Here is a 20,154-nt window from a genome sequence, read left to right on the forward strand (position 1 = left end):
CTCCACACCCAATTCCACCATTTGACTGCTGCACCTACCATATTCCATTGTAAATGCTGCTTCCCTCCCCTATCCTGCGAGAAAAAAAAAAAAAACCTAAAAAATTATACCCCTAAAGATTTGCTGTTTGTTTTGTTTTTTGTTTTATTCTTGAAATTCATGTTCCCTTTCCCCTCCACCACTGTGGAGAAGCAGAAACGAAAGGACACGCCTGTTTACTGAGCAGATGGACTGTGCACCTGTGTTGATTCTCCTGCACCGGTGGCCTGCCCACCCACCAGAGCTCCCCAGGAACGCCCGGCAGACGGCCTTGCCTGAGCATCCCCTCCCCGCAGCAGCGGGCTTCCTGTCACTGAAACTCCTCTTCCCTCTCCTCAGGGAGCATTGATTTGTACGAAGGTCTTCTAGCCCTGCAGGTTGGGGAGGGGAGGCGCAGGGTTCCGATTCCATTTGTCTTTACAAAGGGACCGCCTTTCCCTCATGGACTTGCTTATTGTAGGTGTGTCAATTGTGAAGCTGAGTTGCTTAATTCTAGGGCTGATTGCCGGGAGCTAAAGGATCCCCCTACCCTGACATTCCCGGGGCGCCCTATTCTGTCTTCCTCTTCCTAAGGACTCCCCTGACTGCCAGGCCACAGCCCCACGGCGGGCCCCTGCCAGAGGCTCAAGAAAACCAACCCGACTGTCCCCGCAGCGCCCTGCTCTCTGTCCACAGGAGGGCGCTCGCTCCGAACCCCAAGTTGTCAGCCACTGGAAGGCAGGCGGAGAGGGACTGGAAGAAAGGGGGAGGAAAGGGGTGTAGGGCGGGAACCTAGAGGGGCGCGGGAGGGGTTAGGGAGCGCGTACTTTTCCAGAGGGAGCTGAATAGAGCCAAGGCTTGGGCACGGCTGTGCAGAGAGGGAATTCGGCCCCCGGTCTCTTGCAACCAACAGCGCGACTTCTCCCTGCAGGGCAGGGGAGGCAATAGAGAAGGAGGGCCTCCAAGAAGGTGCATCTCCCAGCTGTTTACCAATCCCCACCCAGTGGGGACAGAAGACAACTTAATTCCACAAAGTTGGACCCCCAAGGGAAGTGGGGAGGTGAGAGGGAAAGAAGGATGTGGTCTCCATCTAAAGTCAAGATCTCTTCCCCAGAAGCTAGAGGTAAACTTGCCCAGCTCGGACTAGGCCTAGAGAGGCTGAATGATGTGGCATCACCCGGAAACAGCGTTTACCCTCCTTATCCTCTTCCCTTCTGCCTGAAAACACTAATCCAGATGATGGACAATGATTCAATTAGTCATCTTCTCTGATGGGGGCTGAGATCCAGGCTGGGATCCCGTGGAAGTGCCGGGTGAGTCATTACGCTGAGGCTGCAGGGATACCCCGCCCCATTACTGAACACCCCGTGGTTCACGTGTTGGTGCAGCTGCCAGCTCCTCAGACCACCGTTCCAACAAAAAGCCCTCACCCTGAATGCAGGGACACACTCCAAGAGTGTGCCTCCCCCACTCCACCTGGGACCTGGGCAGCCGCAGTAGACTCAGTCACACAGCGTCCTCACTGGTGTAGGAAACTCCCTGAGCCAAGCCTCAGGCATCTCAGATGTGCCCTATCTAACCCCTGCGCTGTGATGAGAAAGGGGACTTGCCCCACCCCAGGGCCCCTCTTGCCACACCCAGAGCAAAACACATCTGGGAGCCTCTGGGACTATCTCTGCCTCACTTCCAGGCCCCCAAACCCCATCACATCCCGGCCCAGGGACCATTTCCATCTCCAAGCTCATCCCAGGACTCTCTCTACTGGAAACCACTTGAGCCTTTCCTTAGGATGGCGTTGCCAAGAGGGGCATCTCTCCTCATTCACATAAAGGCACCTTATGTGCTAGAGGCAGCCTTGTCAGGGTGGGTCCTCTGGCCTGGCGAGTCAATGAGTCATTTTCAGAGGTTGACCGTGAGCAAATCTTCCAATGGCTGGTGTCCCACTAAGCCAAGGAGGAACAGAAATCATTCGGAAGCCAGGACGCAAGGGTAAATTTGACCAAAAAAAATTTATTGTACAATTACCCACCACTGGATTTGACTCAGAGAGGACCCCCAGAGGGTGTCTCCATCTTCCCTATTTATTTTCAGCCCTTGAGGGCTTCATTGTAGATCAAAGCCAAGGCCCCCAGGAAGGTGACATACTCCTGGAAGTTCACCTCCTGGTCCTTGTTCCGGTCCAAGTCTTCCATCAGCCTTGCAATTTCAGCATCCTGCAGCTTCTAATGTGTTAGAATGTGAAATCCATACTCAGTGGTGATGACAACCCTGGATTCTTCCCCTTCCCCCTCCCAGGCAATCCTCTCTGCAAGTGGCTCTGTGCTCCCTCATCACCAAGGACCCATGTCACTTTGGCATTGCTTCTCCTCAGCTACTTCTCAGTTACTGGTCCTCATTTGGAGAGATGGATATCCGGCTGGAAGCATCCCCTACCCGCTGGGAGAGTGGGTCTACAGCTCAGGGTCTACATGTGGACCAGGGCCTCAGAATGTGGGTAAATGTGAGTCAGATGCACCTGGCACCTCTCTCTCCCCTAATCCTGCTTCCAAAGGACAAGGGTGGGAAAAGGGGTCCTGGGGAGGAGGCCACTCACCGAGCCAATGGTGAGCTCCTTCTGGATCAGCTCCTTCAGCTCCTTCTTGCTCAGGGTGTGCTTGTCACCCTCCCTGCCGGAGTACTTGTGGAAGATGGCCACGAGGAGGCCAATGGCCTGATCCAGGGGGCATGCCATGGCTGAGGGCTGGGCTTGGAGCTGGCAGCAGAGGGCCTAGTCAGTGCCATGGGAGCAAGGACTTCTCACCCACACACCCCAATAATGCTGCCTGCACTAGCCCCGCCTCCTTTGGAACCACCCAGTCTCAGGCCACACACAATGGCATCAGGAGACAGCCCAGGGCTTGAAGGGGAAGGAGAGAGCACACTAGGGCCAAGGCAAGAGAGGTGGCTTAAGGATTCTAAGAAGCATATAGGAACAGTAGCTTTGGGCACAGCTGAGAACTGTCCTTCAGGGGATCCAGAAGTTGAGGAGTATGGCTGGGCAGGGGAGGGGAATGGAGGCTGCAAAGGCAGCTTAAACACAGCTTCACAGGGCCACACATGGTGGCAATGACACACCCAGGGCACTCCCTTCCGCACCCCAAAAGAGCACACCCCATTGCGATCCCTTAGCCCAAGGCCTGCCTGGCACAGCACTGCTGCTCCTGACTATCCCTCCAGCGGGGGAGCGCCACAGATGGCCCCAGTCTGGATCCAGCGGCTGAACTGGGCAGGGGATGGCTGGACCCCCAGCGTGAGGGCAGCTGGCCCTGGAAAGTACCCAGGGCTCCTGGAGAGAACTCACCGGTAGGGAGGCGGCCAAATGCGACGCGAGCGGTCGAGGGGATGGGCTGTGTCGCAGTCCGACTGGCCTTATAGCGGTCGGTGCCCCGGAGGCCAGCTCGGCCAAGCCCACCCCGCCCGCCCAAGTCCCGCCCGCGCCCCACCCTGCGCCGTGGCTTACACAACGCACATTCGCGGTTTACCCCCTCGACTTTCCACGCCTCCTGCCCGGGGCTGTTCCGGGTTAGGACGGGATGGGGGAGCCCAGCAGTGCCCACTGCACGCCTGGTGACGAGTCTCCCCTCATCTGCGCAGCTCAGTTTGCTCAGTTTGCTCTTCGTGACACGTGACTCGGCAAGGGGAGCAGGAGGAGGACTGCGGCGGTCACCCCTGCTTCCTCTGCCAGACCGTGAATGTGACCCTCGAGCCAGCGCAGCGTCAATGTGGGCAAGGAGGGCGCCTCACAGGATGCCGGTGTCCCACAGAGGATACTCAGGGTCACCCCAGAGGAGATAGGGGGAGTAGCCAGTGGTGTAAAGGATATCTACGGCGCCCATCCCCCACCAGCAACAAGTTCCTACCAACACCTCCACTCCTTCCCCTCAGTGCCCCAAATTCCATTCACTACAGCACCTTTGGTGTTAATGTGCATGCACGTGGGAGCCCAGCCCTGTAAGCACCATTCGTTATTTACGGGGGAGTGAAGGCCTTTTCAGACCCTCCCCTGAGAAAAGATTTTGATGGAGGAGGCAGGGAGAGAAGAAAGCACTGTCCCCCATAGATGATGAGAGTGGTGCTATTGAAGGGGAAATGGTGAAGAGGGAGGGGGCTGGTGTGGAGGCCAGACATGCCCTTCCTACAGGTGCTGCCAAGGTGGCCTCCGGTGAGCTGTGGACAAGTCAGGCCTGCCTGCCTATCACCGCCCTCAGGAGCCACTCCCAACCCCTCCCAGTGTCCTCCTCTCAAAGCAACTTTCCCTCTTAACTTCCTCTGCATCCTTGCAGAGTTCCCGCCTGGCCTAACTTCCCCATTTTCCAGGCAGGCAAAACTAAGCCATGACAAAACCAATGACGTCCACACCAAAGAAGGAGAGGAATGCAGTGGGAGCCCAGGACCCTAACCCCCAGAGGCAGAAGCTGTCTCAACCCACTCAAGGAGAGACCCTTCCTGTGCTCCCCTCTCCCCAGGCCAAGGTAGACAAGACAGCTTCAAAACCAGACTCCCAGCACCTGCGATGGAAACTTTATTTCCTCCCATGGAAGGGTCCATCTGGGAGGGAGAGGAGGGCAGGGGGCCAAAGAGGGTCTGTGAGAGGAGCAGCCGAGGTCAGCAGCAAAGGGTGGAGGGTGAGGGTGGAGGGCAGCCCTGGTCACTTGTTGTCCTCTAGAAAGAAGTCGTTGTAGGCCATGCACAGCATGGTCAGGAACACCGAGTACTCCTTGAAGTCGATCTCCTGGTCGCTGTTCTTGTCCAGGCTCTTCATCAAGTCATCGATGCTGCTCTCCTTCATCTTTTGTGGACCCAGGTGGAGAGACAGCTCAGACCCCGCTCCCAGCCCTGCCCTCGCACCACTGCATGGTGTCATCCCCACCCCGAAACTTCAGGGTGAGCCCCAGCTGAGTCAATGACACTGTCAGCATCTCGACCCCCAGAGTCTGCCCACTGCCCACACCTAGGGAAGGGCCTGGCATGAGGTAGGGGGTCAGGGACCTGACTCCTGAATGGAAATAAATGACAGCAGGAATGCTAGCCTAGCCTGCCTTCCCTGCAATACTGTCCCCCAGCCAAAGAAACAATCATCTAGGTTTTATACCAACACCTGATAAAAACAGCTTGCTGGGTCAGGTGTGGTGGCTCACACCTGTAATCCTAGCACTTTGGGAGGCCGAGGCGGGTGGATCACCTGACATCAGGAGTTCGAGACCAGCCTGACCAACATGGTGAAACCCTGTCTCTACTGAAAATACAAAATTAGCCAGGCATGGTGGTACATCCCTGTAATCCCAGCTATTTGGAAGGCTGAGGCAGGAGAATCGCTTGAACTTGAGAAGCGGAGGTTGCAGTAAGTAAGATCATGCCATTGCACTCCAGCCTGGGCAACAAGAATGAAACTCCTTCTCAAAAAAAAAAAAAGAACACCTTGCTGATTATGTGGCATTGAGCATTATCCAAGTCTCTGAGTGACTCTCTCCCCATTCTAAGGACTAGGTGAGAATAACCCCGGACAAAATGTCTCTCAATGAGAGCAGTGCACTGGGGCTGTGAAGCCACTGCATCCCTCCCCTGCTAGGAGAGCTGTGCAAGAGGCCTGCCTGGAGCCTGGTTGTGCACTGTTGTTCAGTCCCCTGATGTCCCAGCCTGGCTCCATTAGGACGATGGAGTCAGGGTCCTTTGGGTGGAACAGGAAGAAAATATAGACAAGCAGATCCTGATGTCTCCTCATCATTGCCGTCAGCTACAGGTTTTCACAGGAGACATTGGGACTTACAAAGGCGGAAACTGCTTGTCTGTCACGTGATCCTAGTCCCCAGCCTGGGCTCCTGTTATTGCCAGGCCCTCCTCTGGGCGTCTCTCCTTCTGTAATTAATCCCTGCTGGACCTGTGGCCCCTCCCTCTGCCCTCATTAACCTCCAGGATGCAGGCAGCCTGGCAGAAGGCCAGAGATCAGGCCTGGGGACGCCCATACCTGCTTCTGTCCCCTGCCCATGTGGCACACTGTGGACCTTCTTTCTGGGAGGGCCTACCAGGGCTCAAGGTGTGATAGATGGAGAGGCACCCAGGCTAAATTTTAAAGGAAACAGGGAGGATGATTCACAGGCCTGGCCCAGAACTCCAGCTCAGCCTCCCACTAGCGGATTGTCCTTAGGCAAGTTATTTGATGTATTTGAGCATTGATTTTTTTTAACTATAAAAATAATAAGACTAGGCACAGTGGCTCATGCCTGTAATTTCAGCACTTTGGGAGGCTGAGGCGATAGGATCATTTGAGGCCAGGAGTTCAAGAACAGCCTGGGTAAAATAGTGAGACCCCATCTCTACAAAAAATTTTAAAAATTATCTAAGCGTGGTGGTATTTGCTTGTAGTCCTAGCTTCTCAGGAGGCTGAGGTAAGAGGATCACTTGAGCCTGAAAGTTCAAGGCTACAGTGAGCCATGATCGCACCACTGCACTCTAACCTGGGTGACAGAGTGAGACTCTGTCTCAAAAATATTTATCCTTGGCCAGGCGCAGTGGCTCACGCCTGTAATCCCAACACTTTGGGAGTCCGAGGCAGATGGATCACGAGGTCAGGTGTTCGAGACCAGCCTGACCAACATGGTGAAACCCCCATCTCTACTAAAAATACAAAAATTAGCTGGGCGTGATGGTGCGTGCCTGTAATCCCAGCTACTGAAGAGGCTGAGGCAGGAGAATCGCTTGAACCTGAGAGGCGGAGGTTGCAGTGAGCCAAGATCATGTCACTGCATTCCAGCCTGGGTGACAGAGCGAGACTCTCTCAAAAAAAAAAAAAAAAAAAAAAAAAAATATATATATATATATATATATATATTTATTTATTTATTTATCCTCGGGGATATTGTATTATAATAACCTCATGGGCCTTCCCCTCTGTCAGTCACCTCCCTCCCACCACCTCCATCTGGTGAGAACCAGTTCTGTCTCCTCACTACCCTATGTTTACAAGTTAACCTTTCAGTTTGAGTGCCAGCACCATCAGAGAGCCCTGGCCATGCTGTGCACACAGAGAAGAATCAGGCAGAGTCCCTACACTTGAGTTGTACACAGCTGGACCTGGACACCCTGCATCCCTTCACCACCCATGACCCCTAGCACAGGTTCTGCCACTGCTGGGAGAGCCTGGCCCCACCATCGAAGGCTCCTCAATCTCCTTCTCTAAACCCTCCAGACTCAGCCCTTCCTCCTTCTCAGTGAGACCCTGACCCATTCTCCTTCACAGAGGGCTAGAGTTTTGCTGGCCCGAAATCCCCACCATCTTCCTTTGTCTCTGTCTGTAGCCCTTGGCCACCCTGCCCCTGGCTTAGGCTGGAGGATCCTGAGGGTAGGTATGTGTCCCCCAGAGGGAGTACTCAGACTTTGGGGTGGAGGATGAGGGAACAATCACCTACCTCCCCAAGACACAGCTCTTTCTTGATCAGCTCCTTGAGTTCCTTCCTACTCAGGGTCAGTTTGCTACCCTCTCTCCCCGAATATTTGTGAAACGTGGTCACCATAGTGGTCAGGGCCTTCTCCAGAGGAGTCTCCATCACAGTGTGCAGCTCTGTAGAGGGAGAGGGGAAGATCCCATTCCTCAGGAAGTCACCACCAGCAGCACTAGCCTACCTCTGAGGCCCCTCCCTCAAAGAACAAGAGACTGGAACCCAGGATGAGACTGAAATCCACTAACAAGAGCGCCCATCTATATCAGTACAGGTTACAATGAGACCCACAACAAACTCTGGAGCTGCTGGTACAAGGAGAACAGCAAGACCCCAAAGGAGACCACAGACTCTCCTGCTGGGGAGTTGTTGAAAAGTAGGCCTGAGGCAGAAAGATGAGAAGACGACCTCCTCAAAAGGCCCTGGTGGCAGATGGTGGAGCAGATCAAGGGTCACGATTTTCTCTCTGCTTCTTCCAGCTTAGGAACTGGTTTTCCACAGGCAGTTCACCAGCCTTTCCCCCAGTGCCTGAATCACCTGATATCGAGGAGTGTCCCATTATTAAAGTCGGGGACAGGGCAAAGAGAGAGTCCAGGGCTGAGAGGGGGCTGGGCTGGAACTGGGTGATGGGGTCTCAACAAGGAGCAGCAGGGAGGTGAGCTGAGCTGGCCCAGCTGGTCTCCAGACTCTGGCCCAGAGCAGTGCACACAGAGACGGGTCAGCGGGCAGGGAGGGCAGGGGGCCTCTTGAAATCTCCAGGATCATTCCAAAACCTGGATCCAGAGGCTACGCTTGAATAAGGGCCTGGATTCCAATAGCACAGCCACCCTCAGCCAAGGGAAGAGACAGATGGAGCTCAAGTGACTCAGACTCAAAAACCACTTCCCCCTCAGGGAGGAAGGAGGCAACACCCACGGAACTTGAAGGCTGCAGGTTAAATCTGTGGAGAGTCTTCACCTCCAGCCCAAAGCCCTCCCTGCCATTCTTGAACCAGACCCATCATTCCTCTCCCACCACAAAAACCTCAGCCTCTCCCACCTCAAGGAGACTCAGCTGGGACCACAGTTGAAGGCAAGGGACTCTGTGCACCTGCAGGAGCATCCTGGCTAGTCCAGACCCCCACCTCCACCCCAGAGCCATTTCTCAAGAAATTCCAAAGGCTCTGCCCTCTTCTCCCTGAGCGCATGCCCGCTTGTGGGGCCAGGCCTCCTTGGTGGAGGTCACCACCACTTGTCACCCTCATCATCCAGCGTGACCCACCAGATATCAGATGAACAGAGACATAGGAAGGAAGGACTTACCACTGTGGGAGTGAGCCCAGAGAATCCAAGCAGCAGGCATAGCCTCCCTCTCACTGCCTTCTGCCTTTATTTCCCTGATCTCTGTCCCTAGGAATCCAGGGGAGAGAAAGGGCCCATGAGAAGTTGTTGGGGACTTGAGGATGCCCACGTCAGAGCCTCCCGGGATGGAGCTGGGGAGAAACCCCTTCTGCCAATCTCACCTTCCTTGTTTACAAACAAGGGCTGGGGACACACTGAGTTCCCATAGCACACACGTCCCCAATCCCAGAAACTTTACTCTTCTGACCAAAAATCAGAACTCAAAATCTGAAATCTGATGGAACAATAAGCCGAAGAAGGGAAACCAGGCTGTCCTGGAAAGAAAACCTCAGAAGTGTGGGACAAACACAGGGCACCATCTCCCCGTGTCCTAGGAAGCTCTCCACATCGGGCCCCTCCCACCCATCCTGCCACCCACTCCAGGAGTAGAGAAGACAGCCCTTGAGATGGGGATCAGTGGAGGAAGATATTTTCTGCGAAGGATATGGTCAAGGTCATGAGCTAATATGGGCCCAGAGGTTTTTAAAGGGCTTTTAAATGAACGATTTCTTCTAGGCCTCACTGCTCTTCACAGGAAAGGCTCGTCGGAGACTCTTGGCATGGAGGACTGAGAATCAGGAATAGGGAAGGTGTCCAGCGAAGGGCTAAGGCCCAGCACTGGGGTAGAGGTTGTGGATTGGGGAGGGGGGTTCAGGTTCAGGCTGCAGTCAAGGAGGAAGTAGGGGCCAGGGAGAGTTTCCTGTATCCCAGGAGACACTCAGACATCGTTCTACCACAGTAGAACAACATACTTCTACCACCAGTCCAAGAACAGACCTGGGCTCAGGGTGTAGTACCTATCACTGCTGCAGTCCCACCCCAGCCTGGGGGGCCTCCCCACTGCTCCCCACTCCACCCCACCCCCAGCTGGCAAGATTGGAGAGGCAGCAGGGATTGGTTGCTATGCAGTAGGCATCTCTGAAGGAGAGCGTGACCTGGGTGGAGGCCCCAGGGAGGGCGCTCCCAGGGAGGGTGGATGGAGAGGGCAGCGGAAGGCAGCAGACTTTCTCCTGAACTGAAATTCCTCCCAAGTCTCTGTATTCAAACCCTGCGGGAACATCTGAGTCACCTGCCCCACTCCTCTGAAACCTGAGAGAAAAGCCCCATGTGATGAGAGGAAAGAGGACCCTCAAGAGGAGGTCAGTGGGACAAAGCCCTCCAGCCTCTGCACCTGACCTCCATGCACCTCTTCCTAAAAGATCCCTGAGTCACCCAGACATGGCCTTGAAGTCTAACCTCAACCCACCACTGCACCCTGGAGCCACTGGCCTTGAACCTACCTAAGGGGAAGCAATATCATGCCTTATATTTTCTGGGGGGAAAATAATCTCAATTTCATTTGTCAGATCATATATGTGGAATTTTGTCTCCAAAACTATGGTCACCTTCCCACCATTTGCCTCACTCCCACTCCAGCCACTGACCCCCACTCATCTCTTCTGAGGTCCCCTGTCCTTCTCTGAAGGAGCTTGATTCCTGACTGATAACAGATCTCATCCAGGGACCTTTATGGCAGAGACGGTGGATTCGAGAATGCCTATATTCTCATGCTGCTGCAAACAGCGGGTCTCCCTCCACATTGCCCTCCCTGATCCTACCACGCACAGGAAAGGATTAATCCATCCCTGTGGTTTGAAGCCAATGATCTGGAAGTGGGTGGCAGGACAGGGCCTGGACTGTCAACGTCAGCACTGAGTGCCAGCCCTCCTCCCCATCCCACTCTCGCCTAAATACTTCCTCCCTGCAACTCAGCCTTATTCTTTTCCCTCCGACTTACTCCCAGGACACCCAAACTCCATTCCAGACCCCAACCAGGAACAGATATGACCTTCAATTCCAGCCTCGGTTCAAGATCCTGCCAGAGGCAAGGTTGGAGAGAGGTGGGAGGGGTAAGTGGGCTGGCTGAGATCCCACAGCTGGGACCTTCCAAACCTTGGCAGGGGGGTGGTGAGGGGTCCCCTTCTCGGCTTTGACCACACCGAGTGAACTCTATTGCCTGTGCACACACACTGTTAGTCACCCTGCATCCCTCCCCTAACTTCACTGGTCTGCTGTCCATAAAACTTCAGCTCAACTCCCAGCTCTCCCCACCACCACCCCACAACATATCCCTCAGTCCCCAACCCACGCCCCCAGAGTCTCTCAAACCATCAGCCTCAAAACTTCCAAGAATCTTTATTGAACTTGCTCAGCATCAAGCACGTGTCTGAAGGAGCCAGGGTGGAAAAAAAAAAGTGCCCACTGGCGACAGGGAGGGCCCCAGCTGGCAGACCCCCCAACCACATCAGAGGAGTTTTCATTTCTTCCTGGGCTGCTTATCTGGGAAGCCTTCAAAGAATTCGTTACACATCATGGCGATGCAGGACAGGAAGACACAGTACTCTTGGAAGTCCACCTCGTTGTCCCTGTTGCTGTCCAAGTTGCTCATCAGCTTCTGGAAAGCAGCTTCATCTGTCCTTTTCTGGAGGGAGAAGAGGCTACAGATAGAAAACAGAAGCCCAGTGGGTGGAGCCAGGACCAGACCCAGTTTCTACTCCCAGACCAGAGTTCAGGGAGGCTCCTTTGGGAGGTCCAGTTTGGAACTCCAACCCTCAAGGCTAAGCTAGGGTGGAGAAGGTGCTCCTTGGATAAGGAAGTCTGAGTACCTGGTGCAATGGAAAAATGACGGGACCACTACATTTTCACCCAAGGTTGTTCTAATAATCCCATGAGGTAGTAATAGTCATGAAAACAATATATAAACTGTGTTATGTTTGATACAAATATACATTGTTATTGTTTGAAGGGAACGTCTGCAGGCCTGTGATCATCTCCACATCTGTGTCTTCACATCTACAAGCCAAATAGAAACTCAAACAGTGTCCACTGTTGGAGTGATGGCAAGAGTCAGACAGTCCCGGTCCGGATGGCAGTTGTGTACACTGACCACCTTGGGAAGTTACTTAGCACTCTGAGCTTAGTCTTCCCTTCAGTTAAGTTGTGCAAAGCACCTGGCAGTGTCTGACCCATTCATTCTCAGCCCTCTTTCAGCATGGGGCCAGGCAGTGAGTGGTGGTGTTCAATGTGTTTCCACCCCAGGCAGCCACCCCACTGATAGATGCCCTCTGTAGCTAATGCTCTAGAGCAAGACTGCTGCCCTCCTCTGTGGGAAATGCCCCACGTGGGGACTCACTCAGGCACTACCCACTCACCCCCAAGAAGCTGGGCAGCTCCCGGGTCAGCAGCTCCTTTAGTTCTGACTTGTTGAGCTTGAACTTGTCACCCTCTTTGCCCGAGTACTTGTGGAAGGTGGACACCATCACATCCAGGGCCTTCTCCAGAGGGCACGCCATGACAGCAGTCAGGATCTGGGAGCAGGAGGCACAGAGACCGTCTTATTAATCCCACCCCTCAGAGATGTGTTCAGAATGCCAGGCTCCACTCCCATCCCTCCAGGAGCACTTGGCGAGACTCTGCTCCCTCCCTGGGGGAGCCCAGAGCAGTGGGCCCCCGCACCTGGCTGGGAGGGTGTGCACAGTGGGGAACACATGCTCTGGGCAGTGAACATTTGCAAGATCCGCTGCGCAAGCTCTGGAGATTCGGGCAGCAAACTCCCAGGGCCTCCCAGGCCTTGCCTCAACAACAGCATTTTTTCCACCCCTCACTCAGTCTATCCACTCCCACAGCTCAGCCACAAAGGCCCCGCCCTTGCCATTCTTTTCCCTCCCAGAACTGGGTGTGGCTGCTGGAGGCCTGCCCAGGGGCCTGCAGTGGAAAAAACCAGCACAGCCGCTTAGCTCTCAGCATGGGGAGGGGCAAAGTGAGGTGGCAGAGGCAAGGGTTGGAAGAGAAGCTGCAGAGGCCATGCACCTTCTCGAGCTGGGCTGCTGCGTGCAGGGCAGAGGCTCATGGGGCACACCACCAGACAAAGGCCCACAGTTGCCTTCTGCCTTTCCTTTGCTTCCTGCTCCCGAGTGCGCAACCCAGCAAACATGAGCCAGTGCAGATACCCACAGGCACATACATACCAACACGTACTATAGCAACAGCGTGTGCAAGCCCACATCTCAGAAGCACCTGGAGAGCTCAAATTCAGTCACTTGCTCACTTTTCTGTTTGTTTTTTCCTCCGTCTTACGTGCATGTGTGTGTGTGCCATGCACACCCACGCACACAATCCACCCAGAGTTCCACATCAGAATCTCACATCTGGATCTCTTTAGCACATCTGGCCCCCACCAGCCTCCCCTTCTCCTTCCCCAGCCCTGGCCTCTGACACCCCTTGCATGCCAGTCAGGCCAACACAACTCACCAAACCAAGAAAGAAGAAGCGCTGAGGAGAGAGGGTTGTAGAGAGGGGAAGAATGGGGACGGCCCAGAGGTCTGACCTATTTATACCCCAGCCAGGCCCTGCCCATAGCAGGGGACAGGGGAGAGCGGATACTGCCTTCCTGCTGTGGGCTGATGCGGTAAGTGCCACAGCACCCTCCACCAGCCCAGCCGTGGAACCAAGCCTCCTGTTCCCAGGTGGGCACCCGTGGGTAACGGGTAAGCCCTAGCGGTTACTAGCAGGGGACTGGATGAGATGGGCACCACCCAGTGTACATAGCTCAGCCTGAGTTTTAGAGAGGTGGAGGAAGGGGCAGCCTGTGCCTGGAGCATGGGGGACAGGGAGTAGTCCCATGGGGACCTAGGAAAGGAGATGCAGGGGGTGGTGGGTGACAGGTGGGAGATTGCCCTGGAAATGTGGTGACACAAAAGCTAGGGGGGAGATGGGAGGATCGCCTGAGGCCAGGAGTTCAAGACCAGCCTAGGCAACATAGAGAGACTTCTGTCTCTATAAAAAGGAAAAACAATTTTTTTTTTTAATTAGCTGGGCAGCATGGCTGTAGCCTGTAGTCCCAGCTAGTCAGGAAGCTGAGACAGGAGGATCATTTGAGCCCAGGAGTTCGAGACTGCAGTTGGCTATGCTCAAGCCACTGCTCTCCAGCCTGAGCAACACAGAGGACCTTGTCTCTTAAAAAAATAAAGATTCAGAAACAAAAACTGGGGTGGGGATCCCCATGCCCGGTACTGTCTGCCATGCCAAGTAAGGCTCAGGGTCGGGGCGGGGGGATCTGGAGGGGAACAGGCTCACACCCAAAGGAGGCTCTGGGACCACCTCAGGAACGTCAGTGGGAAAGGTCCTGGGTGAGGTAGTGATGGAGTGGAGTGGCAGTGAGGCGTGGGGGCTCACGGATAGATCTCAGGTTCGGAGAGGGTATCAGGAGGGGCCATTTAAAGTTGGGATGAGTGTCAGGAATGAAGAATCCAGGTTGGGGTGGAGAGTTAGAGGTGAAATGGCATGAAATAGGGGAGTTATAATTCGGGTCAACCTCTCAGGGTGGGCTACAAACCCAGTGAGGGTTAGAAGTAGGGGGTTAAGGCCCTCAGGGGGCTGCGGCTTCAGGGATAGGGGCTAGCTCAAGTTATTCCCTTACCCCTCCATACAGAGCACCCCTTCCTGGCTGGGAGAAACACCTCAGACACCCTAATCCCATTAGTGCTGCTCTCTGGGCTCCCACAGCCCGAGGCAGGGAACAAACACCCCCACTGCACCCACGGCCCCACCCTCCTCCAACCATGAGCACTGAGTCCCAGGGGAAACTCAGGCAGTCCTCTCTCAAAGATCCCAAAGAAAGAGAGAGAGGAAGGGAGGACAGGGGTCCTTGTTTTGTCCCCACGCCCTCCTGCTGGACCCTGGAGGCCACTGCATTTCTGCAGGGTCTGCAACTTCCCTCAGGGAGCACCCTGCCCCTGCCCTCAGCTGCCTTCCCGCAGTGGAAAAGGCCAGAGAGGAGCAAAGAGCTCAGGAGACGCGTCCTCAGAGAAGAACCAAACAAAACCAAGCTGATGCCAGTTTTTTATTAGGAGTTAAATAGGCCCTTTCCCATCGTGGTCTCATTGGTGCACGCTCTGCTGAGCCTCGAGGGCCTCAGAGCAGATCCCGCCTCCTCCCATCCACAAGGGAGGCCACAGGGGTGCGGCAGGCAGGCTGGGCCCCAGAGTGGCTCTACCCCTCATTCGCTGGGCATCCTGAGGAAGGAGCCCTCACATCTCTGGGCCTCCTAGGTAAAATGGGTTAACTGATCGCAGAAGACCTGGGCAAGTCCAGATTGAAAGGGGTACAGGAGAGAGGGTAGGAGGGGGTGTGGGAGACATGCCCAGCCCCCGACAGCCAGCGCACCCCCTGGAGCAGAGGCTACTGGGAGCAGGGGGGCTCTGAGGGGCAGTCCTTGAAGTACTCGTGGCAGTAGAGACAGAGGCAGGCAAGTGAGCGCACATACTCCACAAAGTCCACCTCGCAGTCCTTGTTGGTGTCCAGAACACTCATGAATTTGTTGTAGTCACATTCCCGAAACTCAGTCTGTGCAAGGGAAGGGTTGGGAGAGGTAAGGGAGTAGGATGAGGAGGGCAGAACAGCCTCACACGCCACCTCCCTCCTTCCTCTCCCAAGTGGACCCACCCCACCCCAAACTACACCCTTCTGAGGGCCGACTTCAACCTCCCTGCTCTGATAATGCACTCGTTGCAATCCCCTCCCAAATCTGTCCTCTCAGATTATTAATCGAGCACCTACTATTTGCTACTGAGTGCCTACCAAGTGTTAGGCATTCTTCATGGTGCTCTCACTCAGTCCTCTCAACAGCTCTGCAAGGCAGCAGGGATGATTGTCATCCCATTTTACAGATGAGGAAGCTGAGGTTTCTGCTGTGTCAGTTCTCCCCCTCCCACTCCCTCCTCACAATCCAGCCCCCTCCCTTGCTGTCCTGTGCTCATGCTTGTTGTCCCCAGGTCTCTCTTTGCAGAGTCTAGGCAGTGCCTCCCCCCGGAGGAGGAGGGGACGGACACTCTGACTGCTCACCGGGGTCCAGGTGGCCAGCTCCTTCTGCAGCAGCTCCTTGAGCTCCGCCTGGCAGAGCTTGTATTTGTCCCCACAGCGCCCTGCGTATTCCTGGAAGGTGCACACGATGGCAGCTACCGCCTGCTCCAGAGGCCTGGCCATCCTCACTGTCACAGAACAAGGGTGTGGCTCACAGCAGAGTTCCAGGCCAGCCCCCCAGCTCACCTCTGCCCTCTGTGTTTCTCAGAGACTGTTCCCAGACCCATCTTAACCTCCATCAGGCTTCAGGCCCCGCAGTCTCCCCCTCCTCTGAGTAGCCCTCCCAGACCACACCAGCCCCTCCTAATTTATCCCCCTGCTGTCCTGTTGTTATTTCCCCATGTAGAGGTCTCATTGCCCCAACATCGCTGTAAACTCCTCAGAGAGACAGCATCCTACCCCACCACCCACACACCCCACCGTGGGGCTCCTTAAGCACTCTCAGATTATCTGCCACCTCTTCTTATCCCCAACACCCAGGGATGGCTCGGTCCCAGTCTGCCCCAGCCCATGAGATGCCCTAGAAGCCTCCCTCCCTGCAGGAACTTGCACAAGGAGAGCCTGGCCCTGTGCTTCTCTGCCCTCAGCCCTTGGAGAAGCTAGGCCTTAGCAGGGAGGGGCAGGTCTGAGAGGCGCCCCCACAGCCTCACCACCACTGCCCTCACCCTGCCTCCTGCCCTGAACTCGAGGAAGCTGCACCCAGAAGAAAAACTTGTGGGATCCTCTCTGCCTGTCGCCAGCTGTGCAACCTTGGTGAGCCATTTGTCTCTCTGGGTCTCAGGGGCGGGGCCTGATCTGTAAGTTGGGGTTCATCTCACCTCGCTGGCCCAGTCAGGAACCTGAACCAGATGGTCTCTTGAGAGTTGACCAGTTCGGGTGTTTACCAATCTGAGACTGGCCTCCCCTGAGGTTACCCTCCCGACCCCTGGGGGTTTTGAGCAGGGAGGTTCTGTATAGGGATACTCTGTTCTATTGGAGGGGAAGCCCTTCCTGGAATTGCTCACCTCCCCCCACTTCCACTGTCCCCTTCCACCGCCCTTCTGGGATGATGCCTCCAGCCTGGGAAAACCCGAAGGCAGCCAGGAAGGCAAGAGTTTTTTCCATGCTAGCCCAGTGACTCACTCCTGATTCCCCCACGGGACAAGAGTCCTGCAGCACAGGGCGGCCAGGGCCAAGACTCTCCCTGAAGATTTGCCCACTGCTGGGCCCCCTGCTGGGAGCAAATGGCTGGCATGGTTGTGGCTGGCAGGAAAGTAGGGGAAGGGGAGTGGGGAGTGCCAAGCACTGCCAGGATTTAATTCATTGTAAACACCCCAGGATTAGAGCAAGGTGTCCAGGTTCCCAGGAGAGGAAAGGGCCATGATCCTCAGAAATGAGGAGACTCAGAGGTGAAGCAAGGAGGCAAGGAGCAGGTGAGGGGCCTGATCAAGGGGAAGACCAGAGCCTTGAGCCCAGTGCTCCCACCCCAAGGCAGACCTTAGCTCTACACACCTCCCTGCCCAAACTTCCCCAACAGCCCCTCACTGTGTAAGGAAACCTCTGCGTCCACTATATCTGACTTCCCTCCCCGTGTCAGGCCCGCCTGTGGTCATCTCTCTGCTTCCAATGCCAGACCCTGGGTCAGGAGTCAGGCTGGCTACTGGGGGTCCCCAAACTGCCCTGACACTCAACCCAGGGCAGGACCCAAGCAGCTGGCACTCACCACTGGTGCTGGCGTTTCAGCTGTAGGAGCTTAGAGACAGGGCGTCACTATTTGTAGCCTCCCAAGAAAGGAAGGAAGCAATTATGGGGGACACAAGTAGGTCAACACTGAGGATGCCCTCAGGGATCCCTCAGCAGACCCATTACAGGCCCCACCTGCCCACCTATCCACGCACACATCAAAGGCCAGTCTGGGCTCAGACACCACTCCCCTTTCATTCCCCATCTGCCCTCCCCCAGAGTTGGGAACAGGGGACAGTCTCCTGCCAAGTCCTTCCAGCTCAGTTGGAGGAGACAGTCTGGCTTATCCATCACATCACAGCCCCATCTCTTCACTCTGCAGAGGCCCCCAGAATACCAAGTGGGGACACACTTCTGCCTCGCTCAGGTTGCACCCCTACAAATCTCTATTCCGGGTAGAACTTGGAGAGCACGTGGCTAAGCCTCCCCTTTACAGACGAGAAGTCTGAACTTGCCTGACCAGATCCCAGCTTTTGGCTGTGAACTGCTTGCTTCCCAGGGGGGAAATCATCAGGTGGGATGTCTTTGAGGCACAGGAAGGAGGTGTGTTCCTCCCAGGGGCACTTCCAGAGTCTAAGCTTGAGATTTCTGGCCCTTCCACCCCAGGTGATGGGAATGAATTTGGGCTAGAGTCACATGAAGGCTGGCCAGTGGCTGGAGCTCCTTAAGGGCTGTTTTCCTTCTTCCCCTGCTCTGCTCAGCACCAAAACAACTTTCCTTGAAGTCTTGTGGGTGGCAGGATGGGATTTCCTCTGGCTTTTAGCTTGAGTGTGTAGCCTTTTGGGGTCTCAGCATCATGGGAGGGTCATCCATTTGTGTCCCCTCTTGGGGTGAGAACTGGGCTTCCACTTCTGTCTTCCTCACTCCCCAAACCATCAGGATCAAAGCTCAGGTTCGGCTTGGCTTGGCCAATGACCTCAGGGCACGGGGGGCCCCAGTACAGATTCTGCTTTGACTTAGATTTTGGCCTACTCATTTCTTACTGCCTTGTGGTCTCTTCAATGCTTTGAAAAGATTTAATTCTATGCAGCATTTGTTGTTGTTTTTAAGCTGAAGTGGGCACAGACCACCATATTACCAGAAACAGACATACTTTCATGTAACTTCTCTATTCTCTCCCTCACACCAGAGCCTGAGAAACTCCTCCCTGTTTTATAGGAAGAGAACCCAAAACCTAGAAGAGCGTGAGAGGGAAAAGAGGAAGGAGATTGACTCCCAGGCCGGCAAAGAAGCCTTCCTGCCCGTGCAGGCAGCCAGAGCGCCAGTGACACCTTCGACCTCGCCCTCGGCCCCCAGCACCCAAGCCTTGCCTGTGCCGTCCTCTCCTTGGAGACTCAGCCCTGTTGAGGAGGGGAGTGAGCAATAGAGGAGGGAAGGAAAAGAGGAGCTGTGATTAGCCCTGTTTTATAATGGGCTACATAGCCCTGTTTTATATGGGCTTTTTAATGGAAGTATGGGGAGCAGGGGGCAGAGAACAAGAGACAGTCACGCAGCAGAAGGGGGGGCCAGAGTGCACCAGCAATTAATTCAGCTCTAGGTCGAGCTTAATTATTCCCACCTATGATATCCCAGCTCTGCCCCCAGCCACCTCCCTTAAGCAGCCTACCTCTGCTCTCGGGGCTTCATTTTACTCACCTGTCAGTGATGGAGGGTGATAATAGTAACTACCTCATAGGTTTGTGCGGGGTTTAAATAAGCTAATACATATAAAGTTCATAGAGTAAATAGTGCCCAGCACATGGCAAGGGCTTGATAAATGTTAATCAAGAGATGGGTGAGGCCGGGCGCAGTGGCTCACGCCTATAATACCAGCAATTTGGGAGGCCAAGGCGAGCAGATCACCTGAGGTCAGGAGTTCGAGACCAGCCTGGCAACATGGTGAAACCCCATCTCTACTAAAAATACAAAAATTAGCTGGGCATATTGGCACGTACCTGTAATCCCAGCTACTCGGGAGGCTGAGGCAGGAGAATCGCTTGAACCCAGGAGACGAAGGTTGCAGTGAGCTGAGATCGTGCCACTGCACTCCAGCCTGGGCAACAGAGCAAGACACTGTCTCAAAAAAAAAAAAAGAGAGAGAGAGATGGGTAACTTGCCCAGGGTCACGTAATAGTGAGTGGCAGGCCTAGCAGGCATTCATTTTTCGTATAAATATTTAGACGCATTGGGGGTATAGCCATAAACAAAACAAAAGTCCCTGCTCTGTGGAGATGACAGTCTCTTGGGGAAAACAGACAATAACAAAATAGGTGCTTAACAGATTGCTGATATAAATGCTATGAAGAAAAATAAAGCAGAGCTGGGAGAAAGAAGATGATCGTAGGGAGCGACGTACTTTATTAATATATGGGTGGTCAGGGAAGAGCCCAGCAGCCCGGCTCCTTGCCCTTGTCCTCATCCGCCAGCCCCTGGCGTTTCTCAGCTTGGCAGACCTCTCTGGGTTGCAGCACCTTGGTTTGTCCACTGGGAGAGGACTGGGAGAGACTCAGACTGAGACTGCGGGGAGGGCGGGAGCTCATTCTGGGAGGTGAGGCCTGAGGGGTGGGGTGGGGGGACAGAGTTGTCAAGGTACAGGACTTTGGGGTTGGCAGACTGTCATGGAAAGAACCTCTAGGCTCTACCTTCCTCTTGCCACCTGCCCTCAAGCATGTTACATTCTT

The 20,154-nt window shown here is 54.8% G+C and overlaps 4 protein-coding genes and 2 long non-coding RNA genes across 14 annotated transcripts, besides 9 other annotated features; 2 read left to right on the forward strand and 4 right to left on the reverse strand.

Moving 5' to 3' along the window:
• Nucleotides 852–5,085, forward strand: LOC124904423 (uncharacterized). The gene is made up of 2 exons (XR_007066630.1): nucleotides 852–1,331; nucleotides 2,314–5,085. It is a non-coding gene; the product is annotated as an uncharacterized LOC124904423 (long non-coding RNA).
• Nucleotides 1,143–1,437: an enhancer, noted in NCBI's record as "tiled region #2166; K562 Activating DNase unmatched - State 5:Enh". NCBI's record gives its function as "activates a minimal TATA promoter and a strong SV40 promoter by Sharpr-MPRA in K562 cells {active_cell/tissue: K562}" and the evidence as "EXISTENCE:reporter gene assay evidence [ECO:0000049][PMID:27701403]".
• S100A6 (S100 calcium binding protein A6) lies at nucleotides 2,009–3,401 on the reverse strand. 2 transcript variants are annotated; one of them, NM_014624.4, is made up of 3 exons: nucleotides 3,359–3,401; nucleotides 2,612–2,770; nucleotides 2,009–2,240 (listed from the first exon to the last, which is right to left on the reverse strand). In NM_014624.4, the coding sequence occupies exons 2-3, from the start codon at nucleotides 2,747–2,749 to the stop codon at nucleotides 2,106–2,108; spliced, it is 273 nt and encodes a 90-aa protein (NP_055439.1). In that variant the 5' UTR covers nucleotides 2,750–2,770; nucleotides 3,359–3,401; the 3' UTR covers nucleotides 2,009–2,105. The 2 variants fall into 2 exon arrangements, with proteins under 2 accessions (NP_055439.1, XP_016857522.1); XM_017002033.2 differs by having other exon boundaries at nucleotides 2,612–2,785.
• Nucleotides 3,391–4,026: an enhancer, noted in NCBI's record as "H3K4me1 hESC enhancer chr1:153508457-153509092 (GRCh37/hg19 assembly coordinates)". NCBI's record gives its function as "activates a minimal SCP1, AML or CMV promoter by ChIP-STARR-seq in primed H9 embryonic stem cells {active_cell/tissue: H9 hESC(primed)}" and the evidence as "EXISTENCE:reporter gene assay evidence [ECO:0000049][PMID:30033119]".
• Nucleotides 4,557–11,095, reverse strand: S100A5 (S100 calcium binding protein A5). 7 transcript variants are annotated; one of them, XM_017002029.2, is made up of 4 exons: nucleotides 10,650–11,095; nucleotides 8,795–8,881; nucleotides 7,464–7,615; nucleotides 4,557–4,846 (listed from the first exon to the last, which is right to left on the reverse strand). In XM_017002029.2, the coding sequence occupies exons 1-4, from the start codon at nucleotides 10,669–10,671 to the stop codon at nucleotides 4,706–4,708; spliced, it is 402 nt and encodes a 133-aa protein (XP_016857518.1). In that variant the 5' UTR covers nucleotides 10,672–11,095; the 3' UTR covers nucleotides 4,557–4,705. The 7 variants fall into 7 exon arrangements, with proteins under 7 accessions (XP_016857518.1, NP_002953.2, NP_001381163.1 ...); NM_002962.2 differs by lacking the exon at nucleotides 10,650–11,095 and adding an exon at nucleotides 8,995–9,219; NM_001394234.1 differs by lacking the exon at nucleotides 10,650–11,095 and having other exon boundaries at nucleotides 8,795–9,219.
• S100A4 (S100 calcium binding protein A4) lies at nucleotides 11,031–13,216 on the reverse strand. Of its 2 annotated transcripts, NM_019554.3 has the most exons (4): nucleotides 13,163–13,216; nucleotides 12,880–12,928; nucleotides 12,064–12,219; nucleotides 11,031–11,333 (listed from the first exon to the last, which is right to left on the reverse strand). In NM_019554.3, the coding sequence occupies exons 3-4, from the start codon at nucleotides 12,202–12,204 to the stop codon at nucleotides 11,169–11,171; spliced, it is 306 nt and encodes a 101-aa protein (NP_062427.1). In that variant the 5' UTR covers nucleotides 12,205–12,219; nucleotides 12,880–12,928; nucleotides 13,163–13,216; the 3' UTR covers nucleotides 11,031–11,168. The 2 variants fall into 2 exon arrangements, with proteins under 2 accessions (NP_062427.1, NP_002952.1); NM_002961.3 differs by lacking the exon at nucleotides 12,880–12,928.
• Nucleotides 12,125–12,705: an enhancer, noted in NCBI's record as "H3K27ac-H3K4me1 hESC enhancer chr1:153517191-153517771 (GRCh37/hg19 assembly coordinates)". NCBI's record gives its function as "activates a minimal SCP1, AML or CMV promoter by ChIP-STARR-seq in naive and primed H9 embryonic stem cells {active_cell/tissue: H9 hESC(naive and primed)}" and the evidence as "EXISTENCE:reporter gene assay evidence [ECO:0000049][PMID:30033119]".
• Nucleotides 12,706–13,286: an enhancer, noted in NCBI's record as "H3K27ac-H3K4me1 hESC enhancer chr1:153517772-153518352 (GRCh37/hg19 assembly coordinates)". NCBI's record gives its function as "activates a minimal SCP1, AML or CMV promoter by ChIP-STARR-seq in naive and primed H9 embryonic stem cells {active_cell/tissue: H9 hESC(naive and primed)}" and the evidence as "EXISTENCE:reporter gene assay evidence [ECO:0000049][PMID:30033119]".
• Nucleotides 13,097–13,146: an enhancer, noted in NCBI's record as "active region_1745". NCBI's record gives its function as "activates an Ori minimal core promoter by ATAC-STARR-seq in GM12878 lymphoblastoid cells {active_cell/tissue: GM12878}" and the evidence as "EXISTENCE:reporter gene assay evidence [ECO:0000049][PMID:35858748]".
• LOC101928034 (uncharacterized) lies at nucleotides 13,152–19,179 on the forward strand. The gene is made up of 3 exons (NR_125947.1): nucleotides 13,152–13,319; nucleotides 15,831–16,525; nucleotides 18,653–19,179. It is a non-coding gene; the product is annotated as an uncharacterized LOC101928034 (long non-coding RNA).
• Nucleotides 13,297–13,486: an enhancer, noted in NCBI's record as "active region_1746". NCBI's record gives its function as "activates an Ori minimal core promoter by ATAC-STARR-seq in GM12878 lymphoblastoid cells {active_cell/tissue: GM12878}" and the evidence as "EXISTENCE:reporter gene assay evidence [ECO:0000049][PMID:35858748]".
• S100A3 (S100 calcium binding protein A3) lies at nucleotides 14,739–16,668 on the reverse strand. Its single transcript, NM_002960.2, has 3 exons — nucleotides 16,591–16,668; nucleotides 15,755–15,900; nucleotides 14,739–15,256 (listed from the first exon to the last, which is right to left on the reverse strand). Exons 2-3 carry the CDS (start codon nucleotides 15,893–15,895, stop codon nucleotides 15,092–15,094), a joined length of 306 nt encoding a protein of 101 aa, NP_002951.1. The 5' UTR covers nucleotides 15,896–15,900; nucleotides 16,591–16,668; the 3' UTR covers nucleotides 14,739–15,091.
• Nucleotides 16,195–16,756: an enhancer, noted in NCBI's record as "H3K4me1 hESC enhancer chr1:153521261-153521822 (GRCh37/hg19 assembly coordinates)". NCBI's record gives its function as "activates a minimal SCP1, AML or CMV promoter by ChIP-STARR-seq in naive H9 embryonic stem cells {active_cell/tissue: H9 hESC(naive)}" and the evidence as "EXISTENCE:reporter gene assay evidence [ECO:0000049][PMID:30033119]".
• Nucleotides 16,723–17,017: a silencer, noted in NCBI's record as "tiled region #14368; K562 Repressive non-DNase unmatched - State 7:EnhWF". NCBI's record gives its function as "represses a minimal TATA promoter and a strong SV40 promoter by Sharpr-MPRA in K562 cells {active_cell/tissue: K562}" and the evidence as "EXISTENCE:reporter gene assay evidence [ECO:0000049][PMID:27701403]".
• Nucleotides 17,320–17,881: an enhancer, noted in NCBI's record as "H3K4me1 hESC enhancer chr1:153522386-153522947 (GRCh37/hg19 assembly coordinates)". NCBI's record gives its function as "activates a minimal SCP1, AML or CMV promoter by ChIP-STARR-seq in primed H9 embryonic stem cells {active_cell/tissue: H9 hESC(primed)}" and the evidence as "EXISTENCE:reporter gene assay evidence [ECO:0000049][PMID:30033119]".

The sequence above is a fragment of the Homo sapiens genome, chromosome 1, assembly GCF_000001405.40.
Source record: "Homo sapiens chromosome 1, GRCh38.p14 Primary Assembly".
Taxonomy (NCBI): Eukaryota; Metazoa; Chordata; class Mammalia; order Primates; family Hominidae; genus Homo; species Homo sapiens.